This window comes from Homo sapiens, chromosome 1, assembly GCF_000001405.40.
Source record: "Homo sapiens chromosome 1, GRCh38.p14 Primary Assembly".
NCBI lineage: Eukaryota > Metazoa > Chordata > Mammalia > Primates > Hominidae > Homo > Homo sapiens.
Window position 1 is genome coordinate 117,076,838 of NC_000001.11, and position 23,970 is coordinate 117,100,807.

At 41.8% G+C, this 23,970-nt stretch overlaps 1 protein-coding gene and 1 non-coding gene across 23 annotated transcripts in view, besides 1 other annotated feature; both read left to right on the forward strand.

Moving 5' to 3' along the window:
• Window positions 1–23,970, forward strand: part of TTF2 (transcription termination factor 2) — a 47,128-nt gene that overhangs the window by 16,512 nt on the left and 6,646 nt on the right. For 3 of the 22 annotated variants that reach the window (NM_003594.4, XM_017002555.3, XM_047432152.1), the window contains exons 8-22: window positions 1,079–1,206; window positions 2,731–2,812; window positions 4,991–5,110; window positions 7,181–7,331; window positions 9,580–9,685; window positions 11,964–12,145; window positions 13,218–13,371; window positions 13,695–13,786; window positions 14,491–14,573; window positions 14,980–15,113; window positions 15,894–16,064; window positions 18,472–18,530; window positions 19,312–19,462; window positions 20,514–20,596; window positions 21,996–22,070. In NM_003594.4, coding sequence (NP_003585.3) covers window positions 1,079–1,206; window positions 2,731–2,812; window positions 4,991–5,110; window positions 7,181–7,331; window positions 9,580–9,685; window positions 11,964–12,145; window positions 13,218–13,371; window positions 13,695–13,786; window positions 14,491–14,573; window positions 14,980–15,113; window positions 15,894–16,064; window positions 18,472–18,530; window positions 19,312–19,462; window positions 20,514–20,596; window positions 21,996–22,070 — 1,771 coding nt within the window. Of the gene's footprint in view, window positions 1–1,057; window positions 1,207–2,730; window positions 2,813–4,990; window positions 5,111–7,180; window positions 7,332–9,579; window positions 9,686–11,070; window positions 11,134–11,963; window positions 12,146–13,217; window positions 13,372–13,694; window positions 13,787–14,490; window positions 14,574–14,979; window positions 15,114–15,893; window positions 16,065–18,471; window positions 18,531–19,311; window positions 19,463–20,513; window positions 21,402–21,995; window positions 22,071–23,970 lie in introns of those variants that run through there. The other 19 variants (XM_017002550.3, XM_017002551.3, XM_047432135.1 and 16 more) reach the window with 14 other exon arrangements.
• Window positions 42–1,241: an enhancer, noted in NCBI's record as "CDK7 strongly-dependent group 2 enhancer chr1:117619501-117620700 (GRCh37/hg19 assembly coordinates)". NCBI's record gives its function as "activates an origin of replication core promoter dependent on BRD2, BRD4, P300/CBP, MED14 and CDK7 cofactors, with strong dependence on CDK7, by STARR-seq in HCT116 cells {active_cell/tissue: HCT116}" and the evidence as "EXISTENCE:reporter gene assay evidence [ECO:0000049][PMID:35650434]".
• MIR942 (microRNA 942) lies at window positions 17,806–17,891 on the forward strand. The gene has a single exon (NR_030640.1). It is a non-coding gene; the product is annotated as a microRNA 942 (primary transcript).

Consider the following 23,970-nt stretch of genomic DNA (forward strand, 5'->3'; position numbering starts at 1 on the left):
CCTGACCCTGCTGTGAATAGCCACCCCTGTGAGTTACGTGCCACCCGGTACAGTAGTCACCTCTTATCCACACTTTCAGTTAACCTTAGTCACCTGTGGTTCAAAAAAAGGTGAGTACAGTACAGTAAGATATTTTGAGAGAGAAAGAGACAGAAACCACATTCACATAACTTTTATTACAGTATATTCTTATAATTCTTCTATTTTATTATTATTGTTAAATGCTTTCTGTCCCTAATGTATTAAAGTTTAAAATAGGTATGTACGTATGGGGAAAAAAAAAAGCCAAAACATAGTATGTGTAGGGTTCAGTACCATCCAGTTTCAAGCATCCACTGGGGGTCTTGCAACATACGCCCTGTGGATAAGGAGGGACTACCGTAGATGTCTTTGTGCCCACATGAGGGGAGAAGCCATTCTTAAGTCAGAAGTTGCCCATATAATAAAGATTGTGCAGCTCAGTAGAGCTTTGCATCGTGTTACTTAGCTTTCTGTGAGGGCACAGACTGTGTCTACCTTGTTCACCACTGTATGCTGATTAGTCAGCTCAGTGGCTGGCACATAGGAGTCATCCAGTCAGCATTTGTGGATGAAAACTCTAGCTCGCATCATTATGAGGTAGGCAGACCTGCAGATATGCTCTTATTCTTTCGTGTGTGTGTAAGTGTGTGTAAGACTGAGGAGAGACATGAGTCAAGACTGATGACTAATAGATCCACAGAGAGCAATAACACCCTATTAGCTAAGTGTTTCCTTCCTGAACTTTCTAGGCAACTTTGAATTCAGAGGTAACTGCAGAATGAAGATTCCAAGTGGAGCCTGAAATGTGTAATAGGATCAGTTGACAGGAGACTGATCAGGAGATAGGAGCTTGGAGATTGGGTTGGCTGGCAGTGACCAGAAAAGCAAAAGCCACTTGTTTCCCAACTGAGAACTGCTAGAGACATGGAAAGTTGAGGAGAGTAGTTAACAAGGAGGGTAAGAAACAGATACAGGGCCATTTGTAGCTAAGTTCACTCTAAAGGGATAAAGAAAACATACTTGTGACATCTTTTAGGTAACACCTATTTGTATGCAGGCCATACAAACCAAGATCACGTTCATGCAGTGTGGAAAATCACAAGTGAAGCCATCGGTCAACTGCATCGCTCACTTGAGTCATGTCCTGGTGAGACGGTTGTGGCAGAAGATCCCGCCGGGCTGAAGGTGAGCCAGGGAAGACTCCTGGTGTAGTCCTCTATGACAGTGCTCCAGCAGCCCCATGAAACTGCTGGCAGAGAGACTTTCTGAGATACCTTTCCTACAGACAGATGCTTAAATGGCTTCCCTTGCAGCATCCTCTCCTTTTATGCTTAACAGTGCAAACAATAACAACAAAACCCCTTTTTTAAAAAGTCATAAAGTTACTTATTTCTGTAGCAGTAAAGGATCCATTTGTTGAGTTGGTAGGTGCCACAAGAATGTGAAGGAATTGTTGCTTGTAATGAACTAGTTGGGGTGAAAATACATATACAATGTAAATAAAACAATTAGCAAAGGCTTTAAGGCAGAAATAAGGGGTGCCTTGTAATATACTATAAAGTACAAAAGGGATTCAGAATAAAGGAAACATCACTCTAGGTCAGTGATTATTTGTTGTCTGCCTACTTTGTGCCTTAAAGGTTGAAAGCCTTTAGATAGCAGAGAGGAAAGGAATAAAACGCTGCAATTAGAGGGAGTGGTGACTAGTGGGAAGATAAAGAGATTGGTATTCAGAAGTGGTGATCAGCTGTCATCAGTACCTGAGCCAGCAGTAGCAGGTGATGTTACTGAGTAGGAGCCTGGCATTGATGAAGGATTAGATCTGAATAACTCAAGAGATAGTATGGAATCGCTGTAGCATTTAAGCAGGGATGACTGATGAAGATTAGTTTTTCTTAACAGAGTACAAGATAAACTGGAGTACAGAAGACTAGAAGGGGGACTCTGGTCAAAGGGCTATTGAAATTTATGACCAGTAGTGCAGACTGGGACATTGGCTGCAGAAAGGAGAGGCAAATTTAAGAGATAATGAGGAAATAATGAAAAGCCAATGTAATGGCTGCTGAAAATAGGGTCAGAGGTCTTGGTTAAAAGCAGAGAGCTGGGCATAGTGGCTCACACCTATAATCCCAGCACTTTCGGAGGCCGAGGCAGGCAGATCACTTGAGGCCAGGAGCTCAAGACTAGCCTGGCCAACATGGTGAAACCCCATCTCTACTAAAAATAAGAAAATTAGCTGGGCATGGTGGCATACGCATGTAATTCCAGCTAGTCGGGAGGCTAAGGCAGGAGAATTGCTTGAACCTGGGAGGCGGAGGCTGCAGTGGGCTGAGATCACGCCACTGCACTCTAGCCTGGGCAACAGAGCGAGGCTGTCTCAAAAAAATAAAAATAAAAAAATAAAAGCTGTAGAGACTGATTTTGACTGATTAAGCAGACAAATCAGGACTCTCACTTGGGGTGTAGGGGGGACTCTTAATAGAAATGCTGAACATTAGATGCAACCCAAAACAAACAGGGGCAGACCAGGACAGTATGGTTACCCTTGAGAGAGGGTGCTGTTAAGGACTTCAAGGTGAAATGAACTGTCTACAGAATACTGAGGGAATCATTTGTAGAAAATAGGAGAGTGTAGAGTTCGTGTAGCCAGGCTCGGCATAGCCTCTCATTAGGAATTTATGCTTAGCATTTGGTTATTACCTTTGTCAGGTCCCTTTGCTACTACACCAGAAGCAGGCATTGGCTTGGTTACTATGGCGAGAAAGTCAGAAGCCACAAGGAGGAATTCTGGGTAAGTGTGGTATTATAAGAGTCAGCCTTTATTGAATGCTTAGGCATTGTGCTAAACACGTAGTGTTGTTTCATTTATTCCTCTCAAGAACTCTATGAGGCAGGTACTATTATTCCTCATTTTACAGATGATGAAAGTGAAGCATGGAAGTGTTAAGCAACTTGCTCAAGAATACACAGTTTAGGATCAAAGATGTTGGTTGCCAGCAGTAGAAGCTGACTCTGGCTGATTAAAGAGAGGAGGAGTTTATTTTTTGGTGGCTCCCACAATCTCTAGGAGATACGGAGTGCCAGGCTCGAGGCCAATTTCAGGAGCCATGGCTAGAGCCAACACACAAACAGCAGTCTATTGCCTCCCTCTTTTTTTTTTTTTTTTTTGAGATGGAGTTTCGCTCTTGTCACCCAGGCTGGAGTGCTGTGGTGCGATCTCGGCTCACTGCAACCTCCGCTTCCCAAGTTCAAGTGATTCTCCTGCCTCACCCTCCCCAGTAGCTGGGATTACAGGCAGATGCCACCACGCCTGGCTAATTTTTTGTATTTTTAGTAGAGATGGGGTTTCGCCATGTTGGACAGGCTGGTCTCTAACTCCTGACCTCAGGTGCTCCACCTGCCTTGGCCTTCCCAAAGTGCTGGGATTACAGGCATGAGCCACTACACCTGGCCTAAAAGTAGTCTATAAAAAGCATCACAGCTACTTTGCTTCACCAAGTGCTAGAGGCAACCAGTGCCACCCCAAAGTCAGTTGTTTCTATAGCCACTGTTTCCTGCAGAAAGGATTTCATAGGGAGTCTCTTTCTAAAGCTGCTTATACCTGAATTAAAGATGTTTATGAGTACATCTGATATATAGAGCCAGGTCATATTGCCAGTGCCTTAGCTGCAACAGAAACCAGAAAGCAAGTTTTCCACTCTGCTTTGGGGACTTGTCAGGCTAAAATTTTCTAAGGTGTTCAATTTTCAGAAACCATGATAGATGTCCACTATGGCTAGTAAGTGACTGTGTCAGTGGTCCTCAAAACCACCCCCAGGTTCGATGATTTGCTAGTAAGACACAGCATATGGTCATACTCACAGCTGTGATTTATTACAGTGAAAGGCTATAGATCAAAATCAACAAAAGGAAAAGTCACAGGGGCAGAATCCAGGGGAAACCAGGTACAAGCTTCCAGTGTCCTCCCAGTGGAGTCACATGGGATATGCTTAATTCTCCCAGCAGGGAGTTGTGACAACAGGCGTCAAAGGTTCCCTAGGAAGCTCATTAGAGATTTAATGCCCAAGGTTTTTATTGGGGGCTGGTTACTTCAGCTGGTTACACAGGTGGCTTCAGCCTGGTATATACCAAGTTTTCCTACTCCTAGAAGGAAAGCAGGTGTTCAACATAAACCATATTGCTTGTACAAAACAATTTAGGCAGAGTGAGCAACTCTTACCTTACATCCGAGTTTCCAGAGGCAACCTTGTAAGCAGGCCTTTCAAAGGATAGCAGGCAGGCCTATGGGCCTGCTATGTTAATTATTTTTCTGGACAGTAGCAGAGCCAGAATTTAAATCAGAGCCCATGCTCTGACATTCCACTTCTGTTATGGCAGAATGATTATTTTGAATGGGTTATAGTAGCCTCAATGTTGCAGTCTGTTAAAATGAGGATAACCGTATTCTGTAGAGTATAAATAATAAATTAGATAAGCTCAGTGATTGGTACAATGACAGTACCCAAGAAATGTTCATTTATGTCCTCTTTTGATGAATAAGTTAAGGGAATGGAAGGCTATTTTAACTCCAGGAATGTTCTGGTACTGGTAAAGTAAGTAGTAGGATATATCTACTGGACATTTTTTGCTTTTGGAGGTAAGGGATCATCAAACTGTAATAGATATCAGTCAGCACATTGTGCGGGTAATAACATAACATAGGGACTAGAATAATATTCAAATTGTAAGTTTTAAATTTTACAAGAGTCATAGTAAATGTCTTGGACCTAGATCTCAAAGTAAAGAGCAAGTGCTAGGGTTCTGCTGAATAAGGAAGATAAAGGAGCCATTAAGGTAGGCACAGAGTAGTGACGGAGTGGCACTGACAGAGAACAATGGGGAAATGTCTGCCAGTGGTTTCTCCTCTTGAACTAGGGTTGATTATTTGCCCTAAGCAATTAACTCTCTTAATTTTGCTTTTATTTTCTAGCAGATGATATGGGCTTAGGAAAAACCCTGACAATGATTGCGCTCATCCTGACCCAGAAGAATCAAGAGAAAAAGGAAGAAAAGGAGAAAAGCACAGCTTTGACGTGGCTCTCCAAAGATGGTAGACAGAAGTGCCTTAATAGCCTGCCATTCCCTACGTCATTTGAGCCACCCAAGAGGGGAACGTCTTCAGCTAAAAAAGGACACCTTTGGTCATATTTAATTACTCTACTGGAAAACCAGTATTAGATTACTCACCTATCATATCATTTCTGATGCTGAGTATGCTAATTATAAGTGATCATTTTTTCCGTATAAATTTGCCTATAAACTAGGCAGAATTTTATGGAGAAAGCTGAGGCTCTAGAACACTTAATTTAAGCATAATAATAATTCTTATTTTTTGAGACAGGGTCTCGCTCTGTTGCTCAGGCTGGAGTGCAGTGCATGAACACAGCTTACTGCAGCCTAAACCTCCTTGGCTCAAGCGATCCTCCCACCTCAGCCTCCCAAGTAGCTGGGACCACAAGTTTGCACCACCACACCCAGCTAATTTTTTAATTTTTTTGTAGAGATAGGATCTCACCATGTTGCCTGGCTGGTCTCAAACAACTGGGCTCAAGCAATCATCCTGCCTCAGCCTTCCAAAGTGCTGGGATTATAGGTGTGACCCACCATGCCTGGCCAATAATTATTATTTTTGGAAATATTGGGGAAATAACTACAGGGTAGATTCAAATTAATTTTTTTAAAGGAAGATCTGTCACAAATTCACATTTTAGTCACTATAGTGGAAGCTATTTTCCATGTTTCTGAAATTCTAGAAGTTCCTAGATTATAGACACTTTCTATCTTAACATATGTTTTTAAAATGTAGTAACTTTAGCCAGGCACAGTGGTATGCACCTGTAGTCCCAATTGAGGGAGGAGAGGCAGGAGAATCACTTGAGCCTGGGAGCTTGAGGCCAACTGGGCAAGAAAGCAAGACACTGTCTCTTAAAAAAAATTAAATAAAAAGTAATAACTTTATAAGTACTTTAAAGATTGAATATGTTATGTATAGACAACACTACATGTAAGTTGCCATGTATTCAAGTACAGCTCTCAGTTGCTTAGATAGATTAAAAATCTGTGGGCCGGGCATGGTGGCTCACGCCTGTAATCCCAGCACTTTGGGAGGCTGAGGTGGGCGGATAACAAGGTCAGGAGACCGAGACCATCCTGACTAATACGGTGAAACCCCGTCTCTACTAAAAATACAAAAAATTAGCCAAGCATGGTGGCAGGCGCCTGTAGTCCCAGCTACTCAGGAGGCTGAGGCAGGAGAATGGCATGAACCTGGGAGGCAGAGCTTGCAGTGAGCCGAGATCGTGCCACTGCACTCCAGCCTGGGTGACAGAGCGAGACTCCGTCTCAAAAAAAAAAAAAAAAAAAAAATCTGTGGCATCTGCTCTCAGGGCCTCTAATGAGCACTGTTGCAGCTGGGTCCTATATCCCTTTGTGTGTACTAGCAGTATGTGTAAGTAGCACAGGCACACACACGCAGAGATGAGGGGCCATGGTATAAACAAACCATCACTAATTGGTTCCAAACCAATGTTTGCTTATTTTTTAAAAAAGGTTTCTGTACTTAATTTTAAGGTAGAAGTACATTAAGTTATGCTTTTCAGAAAGTATAACAATACTCCATACGCCTCTATAATGAATCAACTCAAGAGGAGTTAGGAAATGATCCAGCTTTCACTTCCAGCCACTCTGTGAAAGCACATTGCTTTTTCACACTGAGGTCATGTGCCACCCACTTTCCTCCCCCTGTTTAGCCTCTCTTTCTGCCTGTACTTTTAGTGGAGAAAATAAGTAATCAAGTGTTTCAGTTTAAAAGACCATTTCTTCCATTTCCTACTTCACTATAGGCTCTGTATAGAAATAAGAGCAATGGTTAAACATATTAATTGAAGGAGTAAAGTCAGTCAAGAGGAAGAGGTAATGCCTTTAAGTTAAAGGCCGGTCAAACACGATGACTCACACCTGTAATTCCACTGTGGGAGGCTAAGGCAGGAGGATCACTTGAGCCTAGGAGTTTGAGACAGCCTGGGTAACACAGCAAGACCGTGTCTCCATATATTAAAAAAGAAAAGTTAAAAGCCATTTGGTGAATGTAACTAGGCACTGATTTTTTTCCCTTCTCAAGACTCTTGTGACTTTACTTCCCATGGAACACTAATCATCTGTCCTGCCTCCCTGATCCATCATTGGAAAAATGAGGTGGAGAAACGGGTGAACAGCAACAAACTAAGAGTCTATCTCTACCATGGGCCAAACCGGGATTCACGTGCCAGAGTGTAAGTGCAGGAATACGCAGTTGTGGGGGCGTTCAGCACCTCTGCCCAAGGGCCCACGGGCCTTTGCTCCCATCCCTGAGATTTCACTTAATCAGGACGCGTATTTGTGAAAGCCAAAGACAGATCTTTAGTCTCGTCACCATACAGCCTTTGCGTTGTATCCTGAGGTCTACTGGTGATCTTTTGCTGTGTCCTTGTCATTGTCCTCAATGAAAGCTGCCCTGTGAGGAGGCCTGAGATGCCGGAGCTGCCATTCAGGTGACAGCAGCATTCCCCTAGTCAAGGAGATGTGTCGCAAGGCCCTCATGGCTGCTGGAGTTCTGATTCCAGGTGTACATAGTGTGAATGGAACCAGCCCAGTTCTACAGAGCATCTTGATAGAATGCTAATGATTAGTTGCTATAGGTTGATTATATTTTTATGACTTTTTAATATATGAACCATCTAAGATGCTTTAGACTCAATAATTTAGGACGATTAGAGTTAACTATAAATTCTTGAAGAGGGATGCTCAGGAAGGAGGGAAGAAAATGCTTCCCCACATGGCAATCTTAGTCCTAGTCTTTGTCTTTTGGTTTTAAAGGAATTGTTTTCTGTTCTTAATTGCGGAGTGAAGATCTAGATTGAATACTGGCTGCTGTAGTCAAGGATGAGAACAAAGTTATTTCTGCCTCTAAGTAATTTCTCTCCCCAGCCTCCAATTTGGATATTTTATCTCCTAAAGAACGGGGCGGCAGTCTTTCAGGAGTAAGTTGTTAGATTGGTGCCCCTCTGTCTTATGACAGGCCAGTTCTCATGACTGAGAGTCGCTTCTGCAGGCAAAAGGCATCAGGGTGGCAGTGGCAGGCCTGCAGGCCTTCCCTGGCATAGATTACTGTGAGTTGTCTGCCTTTGTGCTAAATTTTTATTTAGAAATAAATTGAATCTCACTTGATTTGTACTTTGAGCCTAACTTGTTTGGTATTTAGAATGTACTAGTTGACCGATTAGAATCATTCTGAATTATACTTCTTTATATGATAGTAGGGTAACTTGTAGACACTGCTGCCTCTCTGAATTAGGCATATCATTTTTATCAAAAGTATTTATTGAGGTTCTCTTGGGGCTGGGCATGGTGGCTCATGCCTATAATCCGAGCACTTTGGGAGGCCGAGGCAGGCAGATCACTTGAGCTCAGGAGTTCGAGACCAGCCTAGGCAACATGGTGAAACCCATCTCTACCAAAAATACAAAAATTAGCTGGGTGTGGTGGTGTGCACTTGTAGTGCCATTTACTTGGGAGGCTGAGGTGGGAGAATCGCTTGAGCCTGGAAGGTGGAGGTTGCAGTGAGCCAAGATCACACCCCTACACTCCAGTCTGGATGACCAGGGTAGGTTACTCACCTATTATTATCATTTCTGATGCTGAGTATGCTAATTATAAGTGATAATTTTTCCCTTTTAATATAAACTTGGCTTGATCTATGATTAGCAGAATTTTACTTTATTTCAATAAATACTTTATTTTATTTTATTATTTTATTTACTTTTGAGACAGGATAGAGTGAGACCCTACCTTGTCTCAAAAAATAAATAAATAAAATAAAGTATTTATTGAAGTTCTCACAATATTAAGCTTCACTGGAAAAAGATTTGTGTTTCTCATTAATAATCTTTATATGTAAGGAGTATAAGCAAGATACACTGAAAGCTTACAGCATGTATTTTTATATCTTAATGTCAAACTAGATCAGTGAATTTTCACAAATCCATTATAGAGTGGTGGGAGGAAAGCACCATTGATACAAGGTGAACAGTGTTTTGAAGTTATCTTTCTCCCCTGGGACTTTGGTGTCATCCATCTCAAATCATTATTAAATGTTAATTCCCAACTCTATCCTACTTTCTGTTATTTCCCAACTCTATCCTACTTTCTGTTCTGGCCAGATCATATTAAGCATTATATTATCCCAGCCAGAGAATTTTCTTTCTGACTCACTGGATGGTAAGAGGGAGGCTGTGGTAGCTATAGTGAGCAGACGGTAAATGATCAGAGGTAAGAGATAGGGAAACCCAAGTGGGTAAAATTTACCTCCAAAATGTGTGTGTGTGTGTGTGTGTGTGCGTGTGTGTGTTAAGGACACAAGTTAATGAGTTCTGCTGTTTGTCCTTCCATTTGTAGGCATTTTTATTGAAAGATCAACTCTGCCTCTCTCATTGTCCCTCTATAGTGGGACCATTTATTGATTTCTTTGTTATGTCTACGCAGCCTCTCTACATATGACATCGTGATCACTACCTATAGCCTCGTGGCCAAGGAGATTCCCACAAACAAGCAAGAGGCAGAGATCCCAGGTGCAAACCTCAATGTGGAGGTGAGGCTGGGGGGCAGCCAGGGAAGTGGAGTTGGAGCCACAGATGGTTTAATGGGAGTCTTTCTCAGCCTCCACGATAGCAAGAGGACCTCCCTGGAGGTCAGGAATGCTGTAAATGATCCGCATGTGGAAAGGAATTGTTCTTTCCTCTATCCCATCACCCTTATTCCAGACAACCACCTCAGTGATAAAGATCAACCTATGCCACAGGATTCAGCTGCCTTTTAGAATGAAAGATGACTGCATTGTATTTGTGGGGGTAATAATCACCTGAATATATAAAAGCCTTACTTGTTGCTATTTTTATTTTAGAGTATTTGGGGTATATACTCATGATATTTTTAATATTTATTGTGCAGACTAGTATTTTACTACTAGTATTTTGATTTTAAGCCATCTTTCCCTGCCTCCCTTTACTTCCCAGAAAAAAAAAAAGGGTTGCAAATAATAAGGCCAGAGGCTAAGTGACAATTGTGAATACGTGATGGTCTTCTAGGGTGTCCAGGGCAGCCTCAGTTATGTGATGTAGAGGCTTTATCATGTAATTATACTCTGAAAATACAGTATTATCCCAAGAACTCATTTTTCTATATGTTATCCTTTTAGCCCAACGGGATATTCACAGGTTTCTGTATTTGGAGAGATCTCTAGAACATTTCTCCAGCTTATAACCAACTCTGACTTATAGATGATGAACTTTTCAGATTGCTCACTGGTTTTCCATTGCTTTTGGGATAAACCCTAAATTTCTTTTCATGATGTATTAGGCTTCATTTATTTATTTATTTGAGGCAGAATCTCACTCTGTCGCCCAGGATGGAGTGCATGGTGCGATCTTGGCTCACTGCAACCTCTGCATCCCGGGTTCAAGCGATTCTCCTGCCTCAGCTTCCCAAGTAGCTGGGATAACAGGTGCCCGCCACTATGCTCGGCTAATTTTTTGTATTTTTAGTAGAGATGGGGTTTCGCCATGTTGGCCAGGCTGGTCTCGAATTCCTGACCTCAAGTGATCCACCCGCCTCGGCCTCCCAAAGTGCTGGGATTATAGGCATGAGCCACCATGCCTGGCCATATTAGGCTCTTTATGATCTTGCCCTACCTGTATGTCGCTCATCTCTTGATGACACCCTGCCCCTCCCTGGGGCACCTCTTGCTCAGTCATACCAAGGGATCTGTAGTTCCCACCATGCTCTGTCACAGTGTTGTGTCTGTTCTCCCTCCGAATGAAACGCTTTGCCTCCACTCCTTCTCCCAGGTTAATTTTTTTAAACCTGCTTCAAGAATCTTTTCTGGACCACTCCCTTCCCACCTTCCCCCGGTTTGGTTGAATGCCTCTGCCAGCACCTTGTGCTTACATAAGTTATAGCACTTTGTTTCTTCAGCAGACGTTGAGTATCCACTATGGGTCAGGTGCTGTTTCGTCAAGAGCAGCCAGATTCCCACTTCAGGTATTGAACTAGCCAGTGGGACTTACTATATCTATATCGTATTGTAATTATCTTTACACTTGTTTTTCTCCCCTGCTAGATTTTGAGCTCTTGCAGGTAGGAACTGTTTTTTATATCTGGTTTAGCATCTCACATCTAAAAGTAGACTTTTGGAAAATTGTTAGTAAATTTAGTAAAATTTAGTAAATGTTTTATTGAGTGAGTGAATTTGCAGGTTCAATGCCTGGTGTAGTCATGGTCTACAGCCATTGCTTAAGTGTGTATTTAAAGAATAAAAGAAAAGTCGGCTGGGCGCGGTGGCTCATGCCTGTAATCCCAGCACTTTGGAAGGCCGAGGCGGGTGGATCACGAGGTCAGGAGATCGAGACCATCCTGGCTAACACGATGAAACCCCGACTCTACTAAAAATACAAAAAATTAGCCGGGTGTGGTGGCGGGCGCCTGTGGTCCCGGCTGCTCGGGAGGCTGAGGCAGGAGAATGGCGTGAAGCCCGGAGGCGGAGCTTGCAGTGAGCCGAGATCTCGCCACTGCACTCCAGCCTGGGCGACGGAGCGAGACTCCCATCTCAAAAAAAAAAAGGAAACCCAAATTTGAAAACATTTTACTCTTAGACATCTTATGTTCAAAGACTGAGACTCTCAAATAACTTATTTGAACCAGTTGAGACGTTTTACTCTTGGGTTTCTTAATTCTTATTTCAGTGTACCTGAGCTAAGCAAATTTAAAGGTAAATGTGGGTCCTCCATGCTTGCCTGCTATTTCCCCTTGTGTCCTTAAGGACATGTACATTTTCCCATATTGTGGCTGGATTTCACTTGTGATTCTTCCAGGGCACCTCAACACCTTTGCTTCGAATAGCCTGGGCTCGAATCATATTGGATGAAGCTCACAATGTTAAGAATCCCCGAGTGCAGACTTCCATAGCTGTGTGTAAGCTACAAGCCTGTGCCCGTTGGGCTGTCACTGGAACCCCCATTCAAAACAACTTATTGGATATGTATTCGCTGCTGAAGTGAGTAACTTCTCGTGATTGTGTAAATATGAACCCTGTCTGTATCCCTTCATCATTATTTCATGTCTCATAATAAAGCCTTAGTATGTGCCAGATTATCTTGTTTAGGAGATGGCAGGCCTGTCAACCTTTAAAGGACAAAAGAATAAATATTTATGAGAAAATAGCTGTTGATTGGTTGATATAGGACTTTGATTACATTCAGCCCTTATATATATATGCAAAAATATAGGACTTTATATATGCAAAATATATGCAAAATATATGCAAATATATGCTATATATATATATATATGCAAAAATTATTCTTAAGTCCAGTGAATGTTTTCGGCTACTTCTGCTTTAAAACATATGGTCTAGGGCTAGCACTACAATTTATTTGAAGCAAACAAAAAAGAATGTTGATTTTAAAATATTTCCATTTGGCTGAGTGCAGTGGGTCATACCTGTAATCTCCACACTTTGGAAGGCTGATGTGGGAGGATTGCTTGAAGCCAGGAGTTCAAGATTAGCCAGGGGAGTAAAATGAGACCCCACCTCTACAAAAAATTAAAAAATTAGCCAGGCACAGGGGTGTACACCTGTGGTCCCAGCTGCTCGAGAGGCTGAGGCAGGAGGATCGCTTGAGCCCAGGAGTTCAAGGCTGCAGTGAGCTATGATTATGCCACTGCACTCCAGCCTGGGTGACAGAGCAAGACCTCAGTCTCTAAAGAAAAAAATTAAAAATAAAATACTTATTTTTATTCGAGTCAGCCATAAGAGGATGTGAAATTTCTTTCTTAGCTCCTGTAGCTTTAGGAACAAATTCTAGCTGTTGGTTATATGTCTTGTTGTGACAGCGTAGGCATCGTTAATAGGAAAACTCACATTTTTATAATGTGGTTTTGTTATTGACTTACATCCTTTTGATCTGTCCAGCAAAGGTTTGCTATGAAATTCACTTTTAAAAGTGATTGGATGACAGGTGTAACAGAAAATCTGATTTGTCATCTTATATCTTACTTTGAACCTTTATTCCATTCTCCCTGACTTTTCCTTCCCTACTCTGTGCCCTTCTTCCTCAACAAAAAAGGTTTCTCCGTTGCTCTCCATTTGATGAGTTCAATCTGTGGAGGAGTCAGGTTGACAATGGCTCAAAGAAAGGAGGAGAACGGTTAAGTATTTTAACCAAGAGCCTTTTGCTGAGGAGAACAAAAGACCAGCTGGACTCTACTGGCAGACCTTTGGTAATCAAGTTTGTACCTGTCCCTGGGGGAGGCCAGGGAAGGAACATGACTGTGTCCTTGTCTTGGGTTGAACAGCCATCTGCTTTGCTTCAGGAGCCTCTGAGTTTCCCATCCTCCTGTGAGGAGGCCCCAGGGTTGCAGTTCCATGCCTAGTGTCATAGCAATCCAGTTGTACTGTATGTTGGAGCAGTCCTGTGTCTAAGAAAGGGTGGAAGCTGCATTCCAGGGTTGACTAGATATGCAGTGTCAGTATGGGGAATTTGTTCTATAATAGGCAGTTAATTTGTATAGCTTCATGCCAGCTTTTTTTTTTATTCTTCCAGGTGATACTGCCCCAGCGTAAATTTCAGTTGCACCATTTAAAGCTTTCTGAAGATGAAGAGACTGTTTACAATGTGTTTTTTGCAAGATCAAGGTGTGTGTATTAAAGAAGCACCTTCTCACACACATTGTTTTATTCCTGTCTTTTCTTGGGAGTGAGTTGAAGGTCAAATTTCCACAAACTTTATGGCATTATTGATTAGTTGGATGTCTGTATTCCCTTTTTTTTTTTACCCCATTTTTCTCCTTCTCCCCTCCCCAGCTTACCTCTGTCTCATACACACATGGAAGGCAAAATTTTGAACCTACTCTTCATTGGCTTCCTTGCATAGAAGTCATAGGGTGTGGTCACCATATACTGAATCTGTCTGGTCCTCATGGGGCTGTACTGAATAATAATATCTCTTTGACATTTGACCTGTCATCCAGCATCTCACCGGAACTTTAAGAAGATGACTTTGTAATCCTTTGTGTCATCTGTTCTTTGCACTTTCTCTTGAACTCTTATCTTTCCCTGAATTCCAGATTTACTGTTTCCTATTTGGTACCTCTCATTTACATTTCTAATGTAAATATATTTTTTCTTCTTTTACACCTTATATTTGTTAGCTTATTTTAAAAAAAGATTGGTTTTTTAAAATAACTGTTTCTTTTGCATTACCTTTGGCCATTGCTTCTTATGAGCTTGGCATCATTTAACAAGTCTTCTATAATTTGTCAAGATCCCACTGCAGGCACAGTTAAGCAGGTCTTAGTGACCATTATACATGCATTTTTTTTCTTTTTAATCTGAGGCAGGTCAGCTCTGCAATCCTATCTAAAAAGACATGAAAGTAGAGGCAACCAATCTGGAAGAAGCCCTAATAATCCATTCAGTAGAGGTAAGCTGTAGGACTCTCATAAATACATATGACTGGTGAAAATGGGGATTTGGATTCAGTAAAACACAGAAATGTGAGGTTATGAATCCTTGGTATCAGAGATTTGGCGTTAACTAAGACCCTCAAACCAGAGTAAAATCTACTGATTGCAAACACGAGATCTGGTGTTTATTTAGCTTCTTTTTAATTGTTTCCTAAATCTGCTTTATTAAAATGCAGGTAGTTCTATAAGGAAAAACCGATATTTCATTTGGCCTAATTGAAGTGGCCTATAGAAGTGAGTTGTAACTATATTATTGAGTCTGAGATCAAACATGGTTAAAGTAGCCCCATGTAGTTCCTGGCTCTCTCCGTATTTCTCTTTTAAATCCTGTACCATCCTGTGGCTTGTCTTCCCTCTTGGAAGTGGCACTGGAGTTTGGGTCTGAGGAGCCTAGACACTCGGAGGCAGCAGACTCACCGAGATCCAGCACCGTCCACATACTGTCCCAGTTGCTGAGACTCCGCCAGTGTTGCTGTCATCTTTCTTTACTGAAGTCGGTAAGAAAAGCCCTCAGCCTGCTGTCATATAGTGCTCCAGAGGGGCCACCTGAGAAGTCAATTTCACTCTCCTCCAACTGGAATCCAGTCTGCTTGATCAAAGGAAATGCTGTTTCGGTTTTTCTATTTTTGTTTTTTGGTGGGTTGGAGAAAAGGGGGCTTATTTATTTTGCTTTATTTCATATTAATCTTGATAATTCCTATGGCATCAAGAATAGTGTATTTCTATTGTTTATTTTGTTTTAGATTAACTGTTTAAGAAAAGAAAATGATATTTTGTTTAAAAAGAAGCCATTTGTGAATGCTCTGGTACTTCAGAATGTCATAAAGCTAATTTAGTTCTTGGGGTTTTCTGCTTTCAGGCAGTTTTGGGGTTTTGGGTTCCAGTTATAAAAACTCAGATAGTTATACAGACTGAAAAGTTGCCCCTACCTTGGATAGAGGCACATCCAAAATTAAGAGGAGTATTCTATTCATTTAAGGAGCTGTAATAATGTATTCTGATTATCAACATCTCAATTATATTCTAGCTTGGAAAAAATAGAATGATTATGTCATCTGCCTGGCAAGTCTTTAAAAAGTTCCATCATTTGGTTTATCTTTAATGTGGTGAAAAAACTTGCAAGATCACACTTTAATCAAGGTGTCTTGAGGAGTTACTGATGACAAATTACAAGATATTTTGCTCTGTGAAGTGGTAAACAATCAAAACATCATCAACAAGTAACAAGGTTTGCTCCCTTGACTCCCAGCTGCTCCTGTCCTTTTTTGTCTGTTCAGGCCCTGGATCCAATGGAACTGAAGGGTGAAGGTCTTGTCCTTTCCCTGGAAGAACAGCTCAGTGCTTTGACCTTGTCAGAACTCCGTGACTCAGAGCCATCTTCCACTGTTTCCCTTAACGGCACCTTCTTCAAGATGGAGCTTTTTGAAGGCATGCGAGAGAGCACCAAGGTACTTTTTGTCTCCTCTGTAGTAGTCGAGAGACTTCGATTCCTCACACATTTTCCTGTGTGACAGCACTTCATTTGTCCAAGTGGGAACAGCCATTTGCCAGCAGAGCTAGAGCCGTTAAATTCTAGCTGATCAGATTCTCCCTCCAGTCTTAAAGCTTCATTTATTTCACAGATAACACTAAAGCCTTACTACATAGGGGACTTTGAGAGAGTAATTTGGGACAACCCCAGCATTGCACTGAAGTGGGTTTTCTGTCATGGGTCACTGGGGAGCTTGCCAGGTTTGTGCTAGGGACGGGGCCTATGCAAGTGAGCAATTTGTTTAGAGAAAGCTTAAAAGGAAAACAAAGGCTTGACTCTAGAGACTGTGTCATACATGCGAGCGCCAATTGCTCTGACTTTGAAAGGCTTCCACATGTGAGTAGTGTTTCCTACATAGCCTTCTGTCTTCATTAGTCATTCTGCTCTGTTTTCGTCAGAGCTTTTTAAGGCAGAAACATTCTGCTGGAGGAAGGCTTAGATATGCCGTAACCTGAATCCTGCCTGTCTGCTGGCTCGGAATGTGCTTCATCATCCTGCCTGTCTTGAAAGTGAGGCTTGTTTCTCTCTTAGCATCTCAAGCTGCCGTTCTTGGGCTCAACCTCTCTTCAAAGGCTTTTTTTGAAAAAGTGTATTAATAACTAGAAAGGTCACTTCCAGGGGAATGGCATTATTTTTTAAAAGGAATGCTGCCTTTTAATTAAAATTTGAAAACATTTACCTAGGTCTTTACCACTGATAGCTGAGAGAAACATAAGAAGAGCATCCCATGTGGCCAGAACACACATGCTAGTGCCTTCAGAGTGAGCTATTGGGCTAAAATTTAAATTCCTAATCATTTGTGTTCCTTGTTTAATTAAATGCAGGTAATATTTATTCACAAGTTTTCTTAACATATGTCCATTAATAGTTCAAACCACATACGGTTGTTTCAAGTAGGGAAGGAGGCTTCTTACTGGAATTTGACCCCGGCTCGTGGGCCATAAATCCAGCCCTCCTGCTGCAGTTTTCTCAAAACACCATGGCTAGCTTTTTCATGTGGGAGTCACAGCGCCTTCCACAATCTCAAGTTGCCAAGACACCAGGCACATCAGTGTCTCTGTTCTATTGTTAACTAAATAACAGATGTAGCTGCTTTTCTGTCTGCTAATTTGAATGGTACAGTTCTGTGACTCACTTCCTGCCTAGGCACCAGAATGTTTGTTAAGATTGGAAAGCAGCCCCATGTGGTGACCACTGTAATGACATCCTAGAATGTGGGAGCTCAGGGCACCTCAGAATTTATCTGGCCTAAGTCCTTCTTTTCACTGATGAGGAATCTGAGTCCCAAAGTGGTCCAGCCATATGAGGACAGAGGAAGAACTTCTGTATATTTGTCTCCTGATTGACTTACAGCCCAGTTTTCTTCCTTCTCCAGCATTCTGGGGGTGAACTCTGGGGCCCTTAGAGGCTCTTGAAAGGTTTTTCACATGAGCAGCTGGGAAGAATGAGCCCAGCTGCACTCCAAAGTCATGCCCCACGTGTTCTTACTGACAGCTCCCCTGTGGACTCAAGTGCACCCTAAGGGTTCTTGGGGAATACCCAGGGAGCCTGTTCGGAAGCTTTAACAATGGTTCCTCCGTCTGGACAGGTCCTTTTCAACAACATTTGGAGCAGGCCATAAAGTGGGTAAAGCTCTTTCACTTTCTTCTTCAGCAAACATTAGGAGAGTATCTTCTCTGTTTTGGCCATGTGTGTACTCACAGCCCCTCACACATGGCCGAAACAGAGAAGTTACTTTCCTAATATTTGCCTCCTTGGAGTGTCTCAAGTCCTGGAAGCAAGAGATAATAAGCAATTAATATACAGTATGACAAGGACCGTGATAATAGAAACAAAAGGTGCTATGATAGTACTTGGGCAGTGGGCACCTAACCTGTACTTTGGGGGTTGGGAGGACCTCCAAGAAGAAGTGACATTAAGCTGACACAAAAGGGTGTTCTAGGCAGAGGGAGCAGAATGGACAAGATGGCCAGTGTGTGATTTATGGGAAGAATTTTGGTGTGCTTGCTGTGTCGTTTGAGGAGGGCATGGTGAGAAACGAACCCAGAGAAGCAGAGGCTGGAGCAGCAAGAATCCGGCAAGCTGCCTTGAGGAGCTTGGCCTTTATCCTCAGTGGGAAGCTATGGAAGGGCTTTAGCCAGAGGGGTGAAGTGACAAACTCACATTTTAGAAAGAGCTTTCTGGCTGCAGAGAGGAGGGTGGAATAAAGACAGGTGAGGCCAGAGCACAGACGCCATGTAGGAGGCTGCTTCGCATGGCAGGTGAGGGGAGATGGAGAAAAGTGAATTGCTTAAACATACAATGTTGATGTAACCTTTTCCCAGATTTCATCTCTGTTGGCAGAATTGGAGGCAATTCAAAGAAATTCAGCATCCCAAAAGAGGTAACTGCGTTTTCTCATTATCCAAGTATTGGTCATAATTATGTGAGAAAATTTGATATTGCCAAGAGTTATAAATCAAGGACTGTGAGTCATGCTCAGCAGAAAGCACTGAGGTTATAGCACACATTCCCTGTGATTTCTAATTAAAATATTTGTGGTACAAATTGAAAAGGAGATCCCTAGAGGATCAGGGTAAGCGAAGCATCTGAAAAAGTGTTTAAAAGTAGAGAAGCATATAAAGAAAAGCAAGCGAGTGAGGAGGCTCCAGCAGTGCTGATAACGTTCTTAAGCTGAGTACTTGGATACAAGGACTCATTTGTTATACCTGACATATGTGCTATACACCTGCATTATTTATAAAATAATTCAATATAAAAATTTAGAACTCGAATTAAGACAGCGTGGGGGCAGGGAGGAGCCTGTTGTTCTGGCTGGCACAAGAAGGGTGGTCAGTGTGTCCCTTTTGTGCAGGACCACAGATTTCTGGATGAGCACTAGGACCCCAAATGAAAGAAGGCTGGAGTCATCACTTTACTCTAGCTACCATTTTTTTCTGACTTCATTTAGCACTAAATAAATTGTAGAAAGGACCTAGAAATAACTGGAAGCATTATAATCTTCAGATATGACCTAAATGTGTGCCTTCTCCCTTAGGTAGCAGAAGGCCTTTCCTTGTCAACATTTGATAGCTAACCTTAAGAATGATGAGGGCATTAAAGCCCTGCAGATGAGTCTGTTTAATCTATGTTAGGGTATTTTTTTATTTTATTCTTCTTTCCAGTGTCATTGTCTCTCAGTGGACCAACATGCTGAAAGTTGTAGCATTGCACCTGAAGAAGCATGGACTGACTTATGCCACCATCGATGGCTCTGTCAATCCCAAGCAGAGAATGGACTTGGTAGAGGCATTTAACCACTCCAGAGGCCCTCAGGTACAAGCTGGTCACATCAGAGCCGCATAATTAACTGTTCTGAGTTATACAAAGAGAATTCTTTTTGTTTGGTTGGTTTTTGTTTTTGTCTTTTTGAGACGGAGTTTTGCTCTTGTTGCCCAGGCTGGACTGCAATAGTGCTATCTTGGCTCACCGCAACCTCCGCCTCCCGGGTTCAAGCGATTCTCCTGCCTCAGCCTTTCAAGTAGCTGGGATTACAGGCTCCTGCCACCAAGCTTGGCTAATTTTTGTATTTTCAGTAGAGATGAGGTTTCACCATGTTGGCCAGGCTGGTCTTGAACTCCTGACCTCAGGTGATCCACCTGCCTTGGCCTCCCAAAGTGCTGGGGTTACAGGCGTAAGCCACCGTGCCCAGCCATATAAAGAGAATTCTGATATGGCAACTTAAAAATATTTACAGCCTTGATTCCTCCGAGTGTTTAGAATTTATTAGACATGTATTGGGATACTTTTAAAGAGCACAAATATTCTAAAAAGAATCAAATATGAGGACTAAAAGGAGATTAACAGCAGAGCTGGTTAGGTTGAGGGGAATCTTTGCAGAGGAGGCAAGCTTTGAAGGATAGGTGGGGTTTTGGTATGAGGAAATATGGAAGGAAATGAAAGAACACAGGCATCTAATTATAGATAATAAAGATTTGGAAAGCATTAGTAGAATGATAGGCAGGAGAATTATTGTAGCAATGGAGGGGTAGGGACTGATGAAATAAACATAATCTGGTTAATTGAAAGTTTATTGAGCTGACCATCCCCAGGGTTCTAAATTACAGTATTTATATATTTTGGCAAGCACTCAGTTAATTTTTTGAGGTTGACTCACACACACACAAAATGTGATGTGAGAATTTTCTCAAAAGTGAGACATGGGAGATAGCATTATAATGTTAAAAAAAAAAACAATTTATAACAGCAGAAGGAAATTTGATAGGAACACAGTGCTTATCTGTATTGATTGTGGACTTAAACCTGAGACCGAGATGTGTTACGAGACCAAGTCTGTTTAAAGTTAATGTTGTGTTTCCTTTTGAAGGTAATGCTAATCTCTCTCTTGGCCGGAGGTGTTGGTCTAAACCTGACTGGAGGAAATCACCTCTTTCTTTTGGACATGCACTGGTAATGATTCCGGATTTGTCCTGGGTTGTCACAGCACATCAAGGAGGCCAGTGGGCTACAGGGGCAGCAAGAACTGACTTCTTATGTTGATTGCTGTGTTCGTATTGCAGAGATGCCTTGCTTTGTATGTGTCTATAGATACAGATCTAAGCAGGGTATAGGGCTAGCTGACTCCCCTGAATTCCTGAGCTAGCAAGCCTTCAAATGACTACTCAAAATAGTTCATTCACGTTATTGTTAGTCTAACATCTGTTTCCATGGAAACGGGGAGCATAGCTTTTCCTCATGGCTAAGAGTTAACCTTGCTCAGTTTTACCTCTTCTCCAGAATACTGTATTCCAGACACACTTGTTGGGGTCCAAGGAAATTTCAACCTTTGAAAAGAGGGAGAAGCATTACTCCAAAAAGAAAAGGAATAGGGATTTTCTAATTATGTTAGAAATACACTTAATACCTCACCCTTGGATTCATTGTATGTAGTGTTAATACCAGGAGTACAACCACATCTTTCGTGGCTACAGAATGAATGAGTTAGTGTGTTGCTAACAGAAAATCTCATAATGAGTACCAGTTTCTGGTTTTCCAGTTATGCCAATCAAGGATTGCTGCTGGGGATTGTCATTGGTCCAATTCTCCAGACAGCCCAGATGGGTACAAATAGGTCAACCTGTTATCATCTTCCAGGAGAACGGGTTTAGTTCTTACTTGGGACTCCTCTGTACACGTGAGTGAGGAAAGCATACTAGGAATCATGCTTTTTTTTTTTTTTCAGAGATAGAGAAATGTTATCCAAGATTTTAAAGAGGTAAGATGAGAAACTAATTTGGAGTTACAATGGGAATCAATAAAGAAGGAAACAAATTAAGTCTCCTTAATCGAATCACAGAATATTCAAGTTGAAAAAGGCAGCTAGTCAAGATCATTAGCTGGCCCTTCAATTTCCAAGTAGCAATCTGAAGCCTAGAGGACTGAGGTTAAATAACTTGCCCAAGGACATCTAGCTACCTAGAGACCAGACCTGAGTTTTGGTTTCACCTCTGTTACTTAAGAGTTGTCAACTGATGATAGTGCTAAGAGCTATTATTAACAGTCTGACCCTAGTTTCTCACTAGAAACTAGGCAAGAAGGTATCTGGCACCAGCTTGTCTTAGGCCAGTATAGCTTAGGACAGGGATCGACAGATTTTTTTTCTTTGAGGCTTTTCAGGCCACATAGTTCTCTGTCACATGATGTGTGTGTTTTGTTTTGCTTTGCTTTCTTTTCTTAAATCCCTTTAAAACTGTAACAATAATTTTTAGCTACAAAAACAAGCTGTGGGCTGGATTTGGCCCATGGCCCATAGTTTGCCATTTCTGATCTAGTATGTCAGTTCCTTTGAGCTTTAGCTGTCTTCTAACAGGAATCCATCACTTGAAGATCAAGCTTGTGACCGAATTTACCGAGTAGGGCAGCAGAAAGATGTTGTCATACACAGGTAAGTAATGGTCCCCAGGACCCAGGACCCTTCTCAACTTGTACTTTGTGAAAGTCTTTCTTTCTTAGGTAGTGTTTTCATAGAATTTAAAGTATTTGGTGATGACTTTACTGATGATGCCCCTGAGGCATACCTTCAGGCAAACCACAGTCAGGAGAAAAACGAGCAATTTGGGGTAAGCTTGAAGTTGGTCACTGCAAAAGAAGAGCAAATTTGTGTATATGGTGAGGGCAGTCCATGAAAGGATGCTCCTATCTTTTATTTTTCTTTTTAACTTTTATTTTGACATAATTTCAGACATACAGAAAACGTACAAGAATAGTACCAAAAAGTTCCCATATATTATGGTGTGCATGTGGGTAGAAACATTTTTCTGGACCACTTGAGAACAAGTTGTAGACCTGATGCTCCTTTGTCCCTAAGTACTTAAGTGTACATTTCTTAAAATTAAGGGAATTCTCTTACGTAACCCCAATAAAATCATCAAAATCAGGTTATTAAAATTAATAAAACACTATTATCTGATCTACAGATCTTTTCAATCTCACTTGTCTCAGTGATGTCCTTCACAGCAAAAAAGAATCCCAGATCCTGGTAGCACGCAGTTTTCATAAGTTTGTCTCCTTTGATCTGGAACAGTACCCAGTCTTTGTGTTTTATGACATTGACATTTTGATGAGCATGAGCCAGTTATTTTGCAAAATGTCCTCTGTTTTGGACCCCCTTGTCTTTAAAAACAACAAAACCTGCCTTAATGCTGCCAATCCCCTCTCACAATGGCCCTCTTTTTTGCCTTCCTTTTCATGACCAGGTTTCCTGAAGAATTAGGAATCACTGCCTATCTTTACTTGATTACTTCCCATTCATTCCTCAGCCTTTACAAACTGGCTTTTACTCCTGTTGCTGCACTGAAATTGCTCTTGTTAAGGGGCACCAATGACTTCCAGACTTTGCTAAATATAGTGATTATGATAGTCTTCCTATGCTCTCTTCTCTGCTCATTCTGTACATTCCTTCCTTCACAAATTCTGTGCACTCCAGTAAGTCCAAAATTTGTATCTTTAGTTCCAAGGTCTCCTAAACTTCAGACCTATCGCAGTCCCTGCTAAATATCTGAATCCGAGTGTCCACATACTCATCTGTTATTCCTTCTTTTATTCATTGTTCTTTTGAGCATTCAGCCCATAAAACATACCTTTTGAGCACCCACTATGTAGCAAGTATAATTACATGTTTCAGGTACTCAAATGTTACAAATAGAAATTGATTTTCTCTTCCTATTATCTCAAATCTGCTATTCTTCTGTAGTCATTGTCTTTGTGAATAGTATCACTCTTTATCTAATTATCTAGCCAGAACTAGACTCCTACCTTTCTCGCTTTTCCACTTACCAAGTCCTTTAGTTATATTTTCTAAATGTTTCTGATAACCATTTCTTCCTTCCCATGCCCACTGCCAGGTCCCCCCTTCCCACTCTGCTGAATCCTGTTCTCTCCATCACCACCGAAGGGCTCTTCCTAGCTAATCCATCTGATTGTGTCATCCACTTCTCATATTCTTCAGTAGCTCTCACCTCCTATAGGATCAAATCAAAATGTCTTAGCATGACATGCACCACCACCCGTGATCTGGCCCTACCAGCCTCTTGAGCTTTTGCCATTGTGGACAACATGGTCAATGTGAACTTCCTCCAATACACCATGCTCTGAAACTCAGCCATGGTTTTGCACGTGTTCCCATTCCCTGGGGTGCTCTCCTCACTGCTCTTTCTGGCAAACCCTTGCCCAACATACAAGTCTCATATTAAGAGTTAACTGTTTAATGGGGCCCTCCCTGACTACCCTGGACACATTTCCTTCTCCTCCTTTTGCACACGGCACATACTTCCATTATAGCACTT